The following is a 15,468-nucleotide window of genomic DNA, read 5'->3' on the forward strand; positions in this document are numbered from 1 at the left end:
GATCACAATGAATTTCTGTTAATTTTGAGAAAATTTATATTTCTGATATTTTCCTATCTAGGAATATGCTGTTTTTTCACTTATTCAGCACTTCTTTTATGTCTTTCCATAAAATTTTATACTATGAGTCATAGAACTCATATTTTTTGCTAAGTTTAGCCATATATATTTTTTAATGTTTGTTTTATAAATGAGCTCTTTTCACCTCATTGAAATTACTAATTTATTATTTCTGACATACAGAAAAGCTGTTGACTTTTGTACTTGGCCATTCTGCTAAATTCTCTTATTAGTTCTAACATCAATTTATTCTCTTTAACTTTCTCTAATAATACCTGGAAATAATGATAATTTTGTTTATTCCTTCCTAATATTTTTATCTGTTATTTCTTTGTCTTGTCATGCATTGACCAGAACCTAGACAACAATGCTGAGAGTAGTGATACTGTTGATGGGGTGTGCCTACCCAACAGTTGTAGAAGTTTTTGTTTCTAATGTTTGCTGCTTATGAAACATAAGATGGTAATTAACAGGTGATTGCTGGAAGTTCTTGGCTTGGTTCCCACACCTGAAAAGCATTTGTGATTTACTGAAAACCAGTGCATGTTGAAGGCTTCCCAGCCTTACATAATTGAGATTCACTTTGACTGTCATATTGCCAAAAATGGACTCAAACCCTGAAGTTGTATCCATACCATCTTGAGAATCAGTTGTTTGAAGCGTCACCCATTGTTTCTAACCATTTTTGTTATAAAGATAATACACACAGAGAGAAGCGCCTGCAGTGAATCTTTGTGTAACCATCATGCAGATCAGGAGACAAACCATGGCGGCCCCTCAGAACTCTGCCACGTGTTTCTTCCCATCTTTTCCTGCTGCTGCTCCCAGAAGTAACCCTATTCCGACTTTTCTGGGTTTTCTTGGTAATCAATTTCTGGTTTTTCTTTATAGAGTTGTTGCCTAAGTATGCACCCTTCAACACGATACTGTTGTTTTGCTTGTACTTTTTGTTAACTGTACATATAATAAATTATGTTATATATTTCTTTATTGCAGGCTCCTTTAATCCAGTGTTATGTTTGGGAGACGCACCCATACAACTGCATGTCACCGTAGCTTGTTCATTTCCAGTGTCGTGTAGTGTCCCTTCATGTGAATTTATCACAGTTTATTAGTATCTTCCACTCTGATGGACATTTGGTAGTTGGAATTTTCATTACTAATGATGCCCCTGCCTGTGGTCATTCCTGCCTGCCTCTTGATGCACACAGGCACGCATTTCTGCTGGGTATGTCCTAGTTCCAGACTCACTGGTTATACGGTATGGATGTAATTATTGTTAGTTTTCCAGTGTGATTAAACATCAGATTAGCGCCCATTAGCAATGTCTGAGGCTGCCTGTTGCTCCACTCGGGTGCCCGTTTGGTATTAGGAGCTTCTTCAGCCATTCTTGTGTTTGTGTTCATGTATCTCATTGTGGTTTTAATTTTCATTTCTATAATGACTAATGTGGTTGAATATGTTTTTGTATGATTATTTGCCATTTGTATTTGCTCTTTTTAAAGTATTTGTACAGGACTTTCACCCATTCTCTTATTGTGTTGCCTTATATAGGAATTATTTCTATGTTCTAGATATGGATCCTTTGCTGGCCATATATGTTGAAAGTATCTCCACTCTTTGGCTTGCCTTTCATTATTTTAATTGTGTCTTGCTGAACAGAAGGTTTTAATGTCAAGGTAGTTTTTAGTCAATCCCCTCATTTATGATTGGTGCATTTTGTCAGGTTTAAGAAGTCTTTTCTCTCCCATAAGAACGTGAAGAAAACATATTCTCCTATGTTTTATAGACCATAGGTTGGCAAACTTTTTTCTGTAAAGGACTAAATAGTAAACATTTTAAGCTTTGTGGACCACAGATAGTCTCTGCTACATATTCATCTTAAAAAAAAAAAAAGAATAACCTTTAGAAGTATAAAAACCATTCTTAGATGCTGGGCCAGAGTGGGCCAGGCTGTACTTTGCCTGTTCCTGTTCTAGAAGTCACAGTTATTTGCTCTCACCTTTACAGTTATGATTTCAGTTGCAGTTGGTTTTGTTTTTTGTTGTTTGGGTTTACAGCATGAGACATGGGACATCTCTAAATGGATATTTATTCATGTTGAGAAGTCCATTTATTCCCCATGTCTATGCAGTGACCCCTTTGTCACAAGTGAAATGAGTCTGTTTCTCAGTTGTCTATTCCATTTTATTGTCCTATTTGCTTATTCTCCCACCATACCGCACTACTTTAATTATTGTAGCTTTATAACAAATTTTCAAATCTAATAGAGAAAGTACTTCATTTGTTCTTTTTACAACTGTCTTGGTTATTCTTGGTTAAGACATTTCCATTAGTATATAAATGAATCAGTTTGTCACATTTCAGTTTCAGAGTAATTTTTAAAAGAACTTTTTCTTTTTGAAATGTAGAGAAGGTTTTTAGAAAATCTTTTTCTTCTTGAAATTGTAGAGAAACATCTCTACAATTTTGAGTCATCAAATCTGTAAACATATTATAGTCCTCCATTTGTTGAGGTTGTCTTAATCTTTCCCAATCATGACTTAAAGCCTTTCCCTACAGAAGTCTTGCATACATTTTGTTGGATTTATTATTAGGTAGATGAATATTTAAATATATATAATCTATTGTAAGTGTTATGCATTTATTAATTGGCAGTGCTTCCTTAAGTGTTTGTTGGAGCATGCTGCTGAAAGCATCTTGGCTTATACATTTCCATAGAAGATTTAAAATTATAGGACACTAGGTTTCCTGATATTTTTGTTTTTTTAAAAATCAACTTATTTTGTTTTACTGCAATTTTTTTTTGTTAAGAGACAGAGTCTCACTATGTTGCCCAGACTGGCTTCAAATTCCTGGACTCAAACAATTCTCCCACCTCAGCCTCCTAAAAAGCTGGAACTATGGATGCACACCACTGTGCCCACCTCTAATTTCCTTTTTTTCCTGATCTTTCTGGCTGGTTGCTTACCAATTTTACTCACCTTTTTAATGACCCCACTTCTGGTTTTACTGCTTTTTCTTATTTTTTTGTTTGTTTTCTGTTTCATCAGTTTCCTATATGAGATCAACCCACAGACATACAATTTTATTTGAGCATTTGTATTGCTTAGAAAGCATTTATAAAATTTTATTAAATTCTTCTCGACATTTTTCTTTCAGCATGGCATTACACTGCAGATTAATAATTTCCAATTAAAGGTTGGGTGGAAGCTCTTCAATTGCACAGTTAAAAAGACTTTGAAATATGGAGATTTCTTTTTGTACTTGCCTTGGGATCCACAAAAAACAAAACACTACCAGAACAGTAATTTGTGCTCAGAAATTATATCCACTGTAAATTTCTGTGGGAATAGAAATCTGGAGAAGTAAATGAACAGCTGATGTTTCTTATGATTCAGTTGTTACTTTTCATCACAATAACTTTACTGAATTTTAAGCATATAATTACTGTTTTGCCTTGTAACTTTAGGTTGAATTTATTTTTAAAAAATATAAAGTCCGATTTACAAAGCTATTTAATGTTTGATAACAATAGTTGAAGGAAATTCTTTTGATTCAGAAAAATTTTAATATCAAACCTGAACCATAAAAATTGCAGTAAAACGTTACTACCTCTGCTAAGTCATTGAAGTGCTTTGTGATACAGTATGTCAGGATATCCAGCTTCAGTTTCTGACTAAATTTCATAGAAATGATTGTCATTAGGTCCGTGAGCATCAATGAAGTACACCATTGATTACACTCTTTAAATAATGTGCAATAGATTCAGATTCACATATTTTATGCAGAGTACCTGCTAGTAGGTAATATAGTAACCATAGGCCTTAACATTTTCATAAGTTTTTCAGTTTAGCCAACTAATCCTTTTTTGCTTCACACAATTTCACAACCACCACTTATAACACATCTTAGCAGATTCCACTTCAGGTTGTACCGAAGTAGTACTTTCTCATTTTTCTGAAAATCTTTTCTTTGGATTTAAAAATTTTTTCTTTGAAAATATTCTTGCCATGGCCATAGTTTGCCAGCTGTTAATCTAGCTTTCAAAATAAGAAACCACAAAGAAGAGAAAATTGAAACATAGACCTAGTAGAAGAAAGGCAATAATGAAAAGCATAAATTAATGTAATGGAAATAAAAAAAATTTTTGAGAAAATCAAAGAAACCAATAGCTTATTTCAGTTTTGAAGACATCAATAAAAATGATAAAACTCAAACTGAGAAAGAGATTACAAATTACCCAAATTGATGTGGTAAGAGGAAATAAGTACAGATCCTACAGACATTAAAAGATTATGAAGGACATATTATAAACAGTTATGCCAGTAAATGTGACAACAGACAAAATGGACAGAATCATTGAAAGACACAAACTATCAAAGCTCTCTCAGGAATTCGTAACTTAGTTGCTGTGGTGCCTGTATGACTGTACATGTCAGTACTCATTGAACTGTATGTATGAAAAGATTTAATTTTTCTGTATGTGAAAATTATCTCAATTTACTTGACTTTAAAATATTGTTTAATGCTGTCAGTCATTTGAGCTACACGTAGATTTACCATTTTTATTCTTTTCATCCTTTCTGTGTCTGTAGCCTTCTTTATGTGATAATCCTCCTTCTGCCTGAAGAATACCTTTTCAGCAGCAGCAAGCTGAAGCCAGCCAGCTCCGAGAGCCAGTTCTTTAATTTACGAGAATTTTATGAGCTGGCTGTCAAACACACCCATTAGTAAAAATCGAATTACATAAATTTACAGTTAAATACATTATGTTTGGAAAGAGAACACACATTCAAAACTGATTCCTTCCAATTATTGTACTAATTGTGCTGTTATCCATACCTTGGAGGCCATTTTTATGATGCTGTGATACTCCACATTTAGTGCTGTCACCTTGGTAGCTTGAAGTCAGTCCTGGTAGGAATATTTACACAGCAGAAATTAGCAAATGCTACTAATTAGAAGTTTATTTGATTATCTAGACCAGAGGTTGGTAAACTATGGCCTGGGGCTGGGGCTGGACATCTTTTTTTTTTTGGTAAATAAGTATTTGTCAACACAGCCACACTCATTTGTTTATGTCTTGTCTGTGGCTGCTTTCATAGCTCAGTAGCAGTCAAGTGGGAGCAACTGAGACTTCCGGCCCACAAAACACAATATATTTACTATCTGGCCCTTTGAGAAAATGTTTGCCAACCAAAATCTAGATTTCAAAATGTGATGGAGAAGATGTTAGTAAGGTGCATTCATTTTCAGATGTCTTGTGTGTAACTGTTACATTTTGAATAGCTCCAGAAATTTAGCCCCTCTTCCAGTGGTTAAAAGTATCATCTCATTCAACAAAGAAATCGCTCACGTCATTGCCGAACACGTGAAGTTCTGACATAACATCTTCATCACCTCTGTCTCGTCACTTTGCAGCATTCATGTAGAACTGTGTGTTCACCAGTTGCAACCTCAGATTGGCTATGGACATGAGTTTGGCAAATATCAACAAAGTCATGCTATAAGAATCAGCTGGCTATACAGAATTTACAACAAAGAGTATTGTGTATTGAATTATTTGTAAATTGTATACTTCACATCCTTTATATCAGTAGAGTTTATTCTTTAAGAAATGCACATCTACATGAATACTTGTTTTGGAATGCCAGCTAAACATTTATCAGTACACCATTGCCTTTATTTCATTTCACAGGGAATTGCTGGCAAGTTCTGGTTTCAGTTTCTTTTTTAGAAAATGTCTTAATTGTATCTGTATTTTTATATCATTTGTTATAGGGGTCTAGGTTTCCAGTTATTTTATTCAGAATCCAGAGATACTGTGACTTTTTCTTCAGGCTTCCATCATTCTTCTTGAGAAGTCAGCTCTTCTTTCAAGTAATGTCTTTTCTCTAAATTGAGATCTGACTAGGTGTGGACACCTTTTATTTATCTTGCTTTGAGATCACAGGGATTCCTGAATCTATAGCTCAATGTCTTTCAACAGTTTCAGAATGTTCTCATCTCTTACTTCTTCAGAGGTTATTTTTGCTCCATTCCCTTGAATTTCCTTCTTTGAACCCATTTACGCATCGGTACACTTCCCTGTATCTTCTAAATCTCTTGTTCTCCGTTATTTCCCATTATTTTATATCCGTGGGGTCCATTGTGTTGATTTCTTCTGATCGCTCTAACAGTTCATTAGTTTTCTTTGCTACTGTGCCTAATTTGGTTTTAAACCCATTCATAGAATACATTATTTCAATGATTTCTCAATTCTAGTATTTTCATTTTTTTAAATAGTTGGTGATTCTTTCCTGAATTTGAGATCTTAGCTTTTTTCCTGCTTGAAGGTAGTAAAGCATAGTTATTTTACATTCCAACACCTGGAATCCCTGTGATCTATTTTTTGTCTTTATTTCTGCCATTTTTGTTCATATTGTCTTATCTCCTCATGGGTCTAGTTGTTTTTTATTTTGTGCCATATTAGTACATTGGAGAAACAGTGTGTAGAAATGACGTATTGCCCGGGAGGATGTTTTCTTCCTCTAGCAGTGCTTGGGGCACCGGCAGTGTGGGATCAGCTCATTCTAACCCTAGGGATTAATACGATCAGAGCAGGGCTGTGGCTCTTTTGAGGTTTGCTCTAGTGACAGCTCACTTTTACTCCTACAAGGTGGCCATTCAGATTCTTCCCCCAAGTTGAGGGTGCTCAAAGGACCCTGCAAGACACTGTCTGTTGCCCCAGGGCAGTCACCTCGCAGGAATGGTGCTTCATCCCAGGGTAGGGGCAGCTCCTGTGCTGCTGTTTCCTCCTGTACGCTGGCCCAAAATTGTCGCTGTCTGCTCTTAGAATATGACCCACTCCTTTCATAAAGCTGAGTTCAAATCCCACATCCCAATTTAAAAAAAAAAATCATGTTATAAGCAACACTAACAACAAATCCACTTTTCTGTCAGCCCTGCCCACCTCCCCATCTTCCTTTCTGAGACATGCAGCATTTCTCTGCAACAAGCAAAATTTTGTATGTGCAAACACACCCTCCCACCCCAAACTTTATTTTAGTCTCTGTGTCTTGGTTAAGGTGTCTTCCTCGCAGTGCCTGCCACCTTGCGGTCGAGCCCAGCTGGCAAATGAAGCTGAGCTCCAGTTCTGCCTGATGCACCACCCCATGCCTTGGTCTTCTGCTGGAGGCTGGGGGAGGTGAGCACTGGCCAAGGACCAGCCCTCTGGTTCTGTCCACATCGGCTTGATGCCCATTCAGGGGTTGCAAGTTCTCCTGGTCTGGATCTATTAGTTGAAGAAATTGCCACCTCGTAATTTCAAATTAGTGGGAATTAAAAATTTAATGGGATGTATGTATTTTTTGGATCATATGAAACTATGTTTTATGTGGTATTTAATGTGAGTTTAAATATGCTTACTAAATATGACTTTTGTTAATATCTCAGTTGATGCTCGTGCGAAAAAAGTCTGCCTTTCTACCTTTCTTTCCTACCTTTCTGCCAAACCCAGTCCTTTTACTAATATTTTAAAGTATTGATTTGAAGCAGCAGTGTGGTTGCTTCTGTCTGGGTTTGAACAAGTAACTGAATTTTAATTCCTGAGACCTCTTACATATAGCAATTGTCTTGGCTGTTGTAGGAAGGCAGCACCCTCATTCCTCTGATTTAGCTCTCTTTGATTCTACAGGAAGTTGTTGCCACTGTCTCTTTTTATTAAACTAAATGCCAGAATTCTTTCATGTCATCATAAGATGTTAATGCATATTGCTTTGGGGACCAAAGTCATACAATTAGAAACCACTCAAATGCTTTTTTATTCTAATTCTGAGGTTACCAATTCCTTAAAATTAGTAAATTTTCACTGATTTTGCAAGCCAGTTGTAAAAAAAAAAAATAGTATAAACTCCTCACTGACGGTAGTTTGGAAGCTGCATTGTTTGGATGTGATGTTTCAGTGCCACACACGTTAGCGGTGGGAACTGGAAGCCAGTCACGAATCGGCTATCTGCTTCAGGGATCTGGCTTTGCACTCCTGCCCCTGCCCCTGAAGTGGCTCTAGGGACAGCTGTGGTTTGAGTGGACTCTTGCTCCTTCCTGACCTCTTAATGGCCACATGGACCCCCTTGCTTATCTTTGAGAGCAGGGCCTTGATGGAAATGCAAATGTGTTTCTCTTTGGTAACCCAGATACCAAAACCAAGTGCAGTCCTGGAAGGTGAAAAGAGTTTCCAAAGGAAAAATAAAAGACACATTTCTAGGAAGCATGGGAAAACCTTGGTGGCTTTGTCCTCTGGTGACAGCAGCCTGGGGGAGGTGGAGTAGCTGGGATGCCCCCAGCTTTCGCCTCCCCTGGGCTCTATCCTGCATGTTCTTGGTCCATAGCCCTCTGTGGGCCATATCTTTCCAGCATCAGTACCTGTTGGGGTCCGTGCTAGGAACACAGCAGTGAGAGATGAAGATGTGGCCTCCCTGACCGCCTGGAGTCCACAGTGCAGGGGAGGAGGGTGACTTTCAACAACTAATGAACAAAGCGTGGCTCAGTCGTAGCTGAGAGAGGCACTGCCCAGGAGAAGTATGAGGCATCGTGGGAGCATTTATCAGAGTCAGAGGAGGCTTCTTTGAGAGGTAGCTTTTAAATGAGATCTGAACCACGTGGAACAAGTAAGAGCTCACGAGTGCCTGTGAAGAAGGACCCCACCTTGCACTTGGGGGACCCGAGGAGGACCTGTGTGCTTGCCGTGCAAAGCAGCAGGACAGAGGACCCAGCTGAGGGCCAGGCGGGAGCAAGGGCCCAGCACACTGGGAGGTTTGAGAGGGTGTCAGGAGGCCATTTGGATGGAGAAGCCACGGGCAACCAGAGGAGTTTCGTCTCGAGTCCTCACCCTGGCTGTAGTGTGGTGAGCACATTGGATTTGGAGAGGTTAGGCAGATGCAGGCAGGCCAGTTACTGGACCATCATGGTGGTCTAGGCAGGGAATGACTGGGTTTAGACTAGTAGAAGGATGACAGCAGTGACGTCTGTAAGTGGACAGATTGCCGGAAGAGTTAGGAGTGAAAACGAGGACTTTGTGATTAAATAGGGCCAAAGAGGAGGATAAGGCAGGCGTGGGCCCGTGTTGCTGGCATGTGTGACTAGCAGGAGGGGAGTCCCCATCAGAAGGGGAAACAGAGCAGGAAGCCAGGAGTGGCGGGAACAACGCTTCAACCTTGGGCCTGCTCTTGTTGAGGTCCAGGGAACCAGTGGGTCGGATCCGTGAGCATGCAGGCATGGAGCTCAGAGAAGCAGCATGTGTCAGAGATATGGCCTGAGAGCCACACACCCACTGCTGCTGCTGTGATCTCCTTGGGTGAGAGCATCAGGGAGAAGAGAGAAAGACCCAGTAGGTGGTGTCGCCAAGGGAGCAGGCCGTGGTGACAGAGGCTGGTGGAACCATCGGGAAAAAGGGTGCCAGAGCCCATTTCCCTGTGGCAGCCACCACCCCCTCCTCACAACACCCACCAGGTCCCTTTTCCTTAAATCAAAACCTGGTGGATTTCAGGGGCAGGCGCTGCTCAGTTGTGGCCTCTGCAAGGTCCCGGCCATGTGTCACCATTGAGTAGCTGCTACCTGGCACTGCGCCGGGCTCTCATGAGCACATGTGAGTGAGGGAGGGAAGGGGCTCCATTGGCTGAGCAGGGTGCACCCTACCTCTCCTGTAACTCCCAGGAGTGGCCGTCCCACACCCAGATGGGGAGTCGGGGTGAAGCCACCATCCTGTGCGTGAATCAATGGAAGGCAAGGCTGGACTCACCCCCGCCTTTCCCCAGGGCATTGGGCCGGATGTTACTGAGCCTCCTTCACTTCCTCTTCCCTGTGGCCGCCCCCCGACCTTCATTTCCTTGGTAATGGGACACTTTGGCCGCTGTCATGGTTGGCCAGGCTCGGTGTGGGCGGCACCCACCAGTTCCTTCTGTGAACATACAGGTTGATGGCAACAGCGCTGGGGCCATGGGGATGACTGCGGGGAGAAGGGCTCATGGCAGAGCAAGCGCAGTGGACCCTCTCCCTCTGGCCAGTGTTCTTCTGTGAAGAGGTGCATCTCTGCGTCTCTGCGGCGTACTCTGCGAGGGTCCCTGTGGAAGTGGCTGAGATCAGCAAGACGACGTGTTTGCAGGGGTTGGGCCACACCAGGCTCTGCACGTGACATGGAGCCTGCAGCTGGAAGAACAGTCTGTTTAATAAAAAATAACCATTTGATAATTATAATCACTTTTAAATTGATAAATGGATTCTTTTAAATAAAAGAAACCATTAAGAATGATTGTTCTGCAGAAAAAGCACATGAGGAAATGAAATTTTCTATCTCATTGGGAATTTCTTGGTAAATATGCAAGCAGATACATACATTACATTTAGATTTTAGAAGTAAAATGACCTCATATACTTTACTTTTTTAGCACAGAGAATTCTGTATAGCATAAAGCAGTAAATCACAGATACTGGGCATTATGAGTGTATTTTTCTTTTGGAAAAAAAAACATTGAAAAAGCAGAGTTATTAATTGGAGTCCTCAAGGTCCTTATTTCAGTAAATCTGAAATGGTGACCATCTTACCCATAGCTAAGTTGGGATGCCAAAGCCATTTCCACCATCAGCGTGCTAGTAGTAACCATCCAGGGGCAAAGCGGCTGATTCTGCAGCCTGGGCATGTGGTATGTGGGTGTCTCTGATGGGCCAAGGGAAATGACAGGCCCTTGTGCTGAAGACTGATAGGAGTTGATTTACATGAAACACATGTGTTTTTTTTTTAAAGACAATTTTAATGCACATATTTTCATTTTCAGCTTTATAGTGTTTTATGTCTTTTGCCTTTGTGATTTAAATTGTCTTATATTATTTATAAGCATTTTCTATTATTTATAATTATTTTTAATGATTTTATGTAATACCATTTTATTTCTAGCTTGACCTGAGTTGGCCTATGCTAACACATTTAAGCTTTCCTAATTCCCAAGGTTACCATAAATCAGCAGGTCCCTAACTTCTGTATTCATCTCTGCCCTGTAGAGAATAGCCAACCTCAGGTTTTCGCAGCCATGCCTCATCTCTCTGTTTCTCTAAAGGGAAGCCATAGCAGGTGCCTGGGTAATGTCCAGATCTGAAAAATCCCATGTAACCTGGAGTTGAGGGCCTGTCTTTCACCCAGTCTGTTTGTAAGCAGTGCCTCTGCCCCCACCATGTCCCCACCTGACAGGCCAGCTCAACACCTGCCTGCCTCCTCGTCCCTGCTCTAACACTAGTCAGGGCGCACAGCCCAGCGAAGTGCTCTGTCTGCTGGGAGGAGGTACTGGCTGTGATCGGACTGCCCCCCACAAAGCCCTGAGCAGGTGAAGGGTGTGGGCCAGCCGGGGGCGAAGGAACAGGTCACCGAGGCCACTGCCAGCACCACCAAGAATCAGGCCAGGTTCCGGGGGCATCTCTGTCCCCACCAGCAGCACTGCCCTTCAGCTTTTTGATGAGGCCGGTTGTTGGCCATAAGAGGAGCGGTGATAAGTTTAGATTGTTTTGGTGTCTGTAGGTCATTACTGGAATTACACCAGCCAGCCATGAGGTCATAAAGTTACCTTGACAGATTGTGAATGCCGAGTCCACAGTAACTCTGGAGGGCTGCCTGGCATCGTCCTTCATCATTGTCCAGAAACGCTCCTCTCGGGAAGGCTGGGCGTAAAACTGAAAAGAGGAGGCTCAAGGAAAGAACGCCTCGGTGGCTCCATGCAGGAAACATTATTTCTGATTTCAAGCTGGAGAGAGAAAGGACTTTGGGGCCCCTGTTTTGGAGGCCTGGAGTGATGAGTACTGTGTCTCCAAGCTCAGAATGAAGCCACCAGTGGTGGCTGCCTTTGTTTCTGCACTTTCAGTTCCTGCAGGTGCAGGAGCTTGCCAGGGCTGCTGTCAGGGACACTTTTCCAGGCCCCGCTGCCCTGGCTGGGTTTCCTTCTCTGAGCAGGAACAAGTGCCCGATGCTGTTGCTGGTGCAGATTGGAGGGCTGCCAGGGCTGGGTGACTCCCTGCCGCATTTTGCCAAGCTTGTGTAGCTGCTTCTGCCTCTTGGAGGGGCTGTGTTAGAAAGCATGCATCACCTCCAGTTACCTCAGGCAGCAGGAAAGACTTTTAACCTACTAAACAAGCGTCTTCCCTGGGAAAATACATCCTTTGGTTGAGACTGTAGGAGACACACTGTAAGTTATTTATCTTGAACCCTAAACTGCATGTAAAAAATGTAACCAAACCCTCAGTGCCTGGGGCGAAATCCACTCCCTAATGTTTTAATGACACAGGATCCACTATGCTACGTGTGCACCGGGTGTAGACTTGGTCCAGTGCATGTGGTGCTAAGCCATAAGGGACTGTTAGGAAGAGCCGGGCATGGTGGCTCATGCCTGTGGTCCCAGCACTTTGGGAGGCCGAGGTGGGTAGATCACTTGAAGTCGGGAGTTCGAGACCAGTCCCGGCCAACATGGCAAAACCCTGTCTCTACTAAAAATACAAAAACTCGCCGAGCGTGGTGGTGCACACCTGTAATCCCAGCTACTCGGGAGGCTGAGGTGGGAGGATCGCTTGAACCCAGGAGGCAGAGGTTGCAGTGAGCCAAGATCATGCCATTGCTCTCCAGCCTGGATGACAGACTGAGACTCCATCTCAAAAAAAAAAAAAAGAATCGTGATATTCTTGATAGGAAGTAAATGTTAGTCATAGGATTACAAGATTTTATTCTAAGCTCTTACAAGCAAGCAGTTCAGATTAATGTGTTTTCTTAGAAAACTTGATTTGATTAAATTTCATACTTTTTATCTATTCCCCAAAATTTATGCGGTCCTTGTGTGCTTGAGGGTTCTAGGAACAAAGTGATTGGGGAAACACCGGTCCCCTCTGCTGTGGGACCCTGCGGGCTTCCAGAACTGGCGTGAGGTCCGAGTCGCTGTGGGACCCTGCGGGCTTCCACAACTGGCATGAGGTCTGAGTCCCGGTGTTTCACAATATTACTTGACCAAAGAGCGTTTTTTTCACAAACACATGAGGCAGCCCATGTGACTCCAGGGACCCGCAAAGCACAGCTTGAGAAATGTTGGTATGTTTCAATGGAAATGTATGTAATTAAGAATATTAGTACAATATTTATTAAAAGTTTCTGTCTTGAATGAAGTAATAGGATATCCTTTAGGAAGCCTGATGTCGGGACGTGCTGTGGGGTATTTTTATGTTAGGTGTTAACATTCAGCAAACAAATCCAGGCTCTACTTTTATCCTTTAATGAAAGATTTTATTTTTTATTCAGCATTGGTGCATTGAGGACTTACAGCCATCTTATCTTACCTCGATGCCATTGAAACAAAAAAATTAGTCATAGAAAACAAACCTAATGCCTTCCTTTGCAAGTTCCAGTCAGAAGTGTCGCATATACCAGACAACACATCATTTTTATAGTTATAGAGAGAACTCCTATGTACTTCATGGGAATACAAAAATGTCACAAAATTAAAAGGAATTTTTCCAAAATTACTGTGACTGAACAGATCATTCCACGCTCCGTTATACCATTCTGATCCTAATCCCATAGTTTAAGTGTAGAGGCTGGAAAATGTCTTCGATTTAGAAAGGAAAGACAGGCGAGTGCTGTACAATGGTGCAATTCAGTGGCCAACGAGCCCAGCAGTCGCAGACCCCATACATTCCTCTCGTTCATATCCTATCGATTTGTGACAGCGATCACATGCTATTGTAGTACAAGGAAGAGGTTTTTTTAACCGACTGTATGACTTGTAGACTTTTCTGTGAATTTTCATTAAGGTTGGTGAATTGTACAAGCTGAGGAAAGCCAAGACAAGCTAGTTAAAATCTCCTGGCACACAGGTCAGCCTGAGTTCAGATTTTATTTCGCGGGCATGATTTTGGGGATCCCGTGCTAGATTGTAGTTGTGTTGTAATAAAGCCCCCTTTCCAGCGCTGCAGTGGGTTGTGGAAATTGTTGAGAGGAGAAACCACCTTCTCCTAGGCATCTGTATTTGGTTACCCGCCAGCACTGAGACATGCAGGCATGGAAAGGCAGACTCAGGAAGGTTCAGGAATTCTACCGACTTTGGAGCATGCTCTCCCCCGGATCTGAAACACTGGCCCCCGTCTTATCCACCCACCACTCCTTAAGACATCCAGGCGTGGAAGGGAAGATTCAGGAAGGTTCAGGAATTCTACCGACTTTGGAGCATGCTCTCCCCTGGATCTGAAACACTGGCCCCCGCCTTCTCCGCCTCCCGCTCCTTTAACCAGTCGTCAGGTATTTCCTCAGGTACCCGCTCTGGGAAGCCTTCCCTGACCCTCCTTTGCCCCCGTGGGGACGTGGCTGCTGCTTCCCCCGTGTGCCTGTGGCCCCTTGTGCCCAGCGCCATCGCCACTCCGTGAGGGTAGATGTGGGTGCCGGCCGTGTCTGATGCCTCCCCACAGGGGCCTTGGGCACGCTGTGTGGACGCTGCCTGTGCGTGCTTCCTGAGCGACCCCATCAGTAAAGCGTCGCCACCATGCAATGCTGCTGGCAGTCCTTGTACTGAGACAATGTGGTAGCTGCCATCCTGAATTTCCCTCTGAAACTGCTCCCACCACCAGTGCTGCCTGTGCTGTGGCCCTGCTTTGTGTCCTGTGGCCTAACACTGGAGCGCCGGCTGCTACCTGTCTGTCTCCTGTGCTGGACAGGAAGCACCATGCAGGCGGCGTTGTCGTCCGATGGTCTCCACCTGTGGCCGTAGCACCGGGTGCGCTGTGGACTGGGACACTTCCATGTCACTCCACACGTGTGCCCCGCTGTGGCACTGTAAATATTCATTTGAGCTGGTAAGGAAAATGACATTTTAAATGCCATGATGATATATAGTGTATTTCTCATGTGAATCACGTTTTCCTTAGTATGGCTCAGCAGCACGCCATGTTTCCGTCCCATAGAGACCATGCTTCCTGTGGGGACGCCCATGGTCCTGGCTACCTCTGCTGAAAGACGGCCAAGGTGACTCTTCAGCTATAAGAGAGATCACTCATCCTGGAAACTTGTCAGAGCAGGAGAATTCCAGAAGGATCAATATTTTTAAAAAATTCTGTTCCTAAACTTTTGCTCTGCAAAAGGTCTTGTAAAAAGAGAACAGAGACAAGTCAGCCCAGGAGAAAATACCATTGACCTTTGAACAACACAGACTTGAACTCTGTGGGTCCACTTACATGTGGATTTTTTTCAACCAAATGTGGATGGAAATATAGTGTTCACAGGATATGAAAACCGTGTATATGGAGGGCCAGCTTTTCATATACACAGAATCTACAGGGCTGATTGTAGGACTTGTGTAGGTGCAGATTTTTGTATCCATGAAATCCTGGAGGCACTCACCAGCATATACC

General features: G+C 42.5%; 1 protein-coding gene across 1 annotated transcript in view, besides 1 other annotated feature; it reads left to right on the top strand.

Annotated features, from left to right (window-relative positions):
- Nucleotides 1–15,468, top strand: part of MGMT (O-6-methylguanine-DNA methyltransferase) — a 303,743-nt gene that overhangs the window by 199,101 nt on the left and 89,174 nt on the right. The gene's annotated exons all lie outside the window — the stretch shown is intronic.
- Nucleotides 9,586–10,159: an enhancer, noted in NCBI's record as "H3K27ac-H3K4me1 hESC enhancer chr10:131474191-131474764 (GRCh37/hg19 assembly coordinates)". NCBI's record gives its function as "activates a minimal SCP1, AML or CMV promoter by ChIP-STARR-seq in primed H9 embryonic stem cells {active_cell/tissue: H9 hESC(primed)}" and the evidence as "EXISTENCE:reporter gene assay evidence [ECO:0000049][PMID:30033119]".

Source organism: Homo sapiens, chromosome 10, assembly GCF_000001405.40.
Source record: "Homo sapiens chromosome 10, GRCh38.p14 Primary Assembly".
Taxonomy (NCBI): domain Eukaryota; kingdom Metazoa; phylum Chordata; class Mammalia; order Primates; family Hominidae; genus Homo; species Homo sapiens.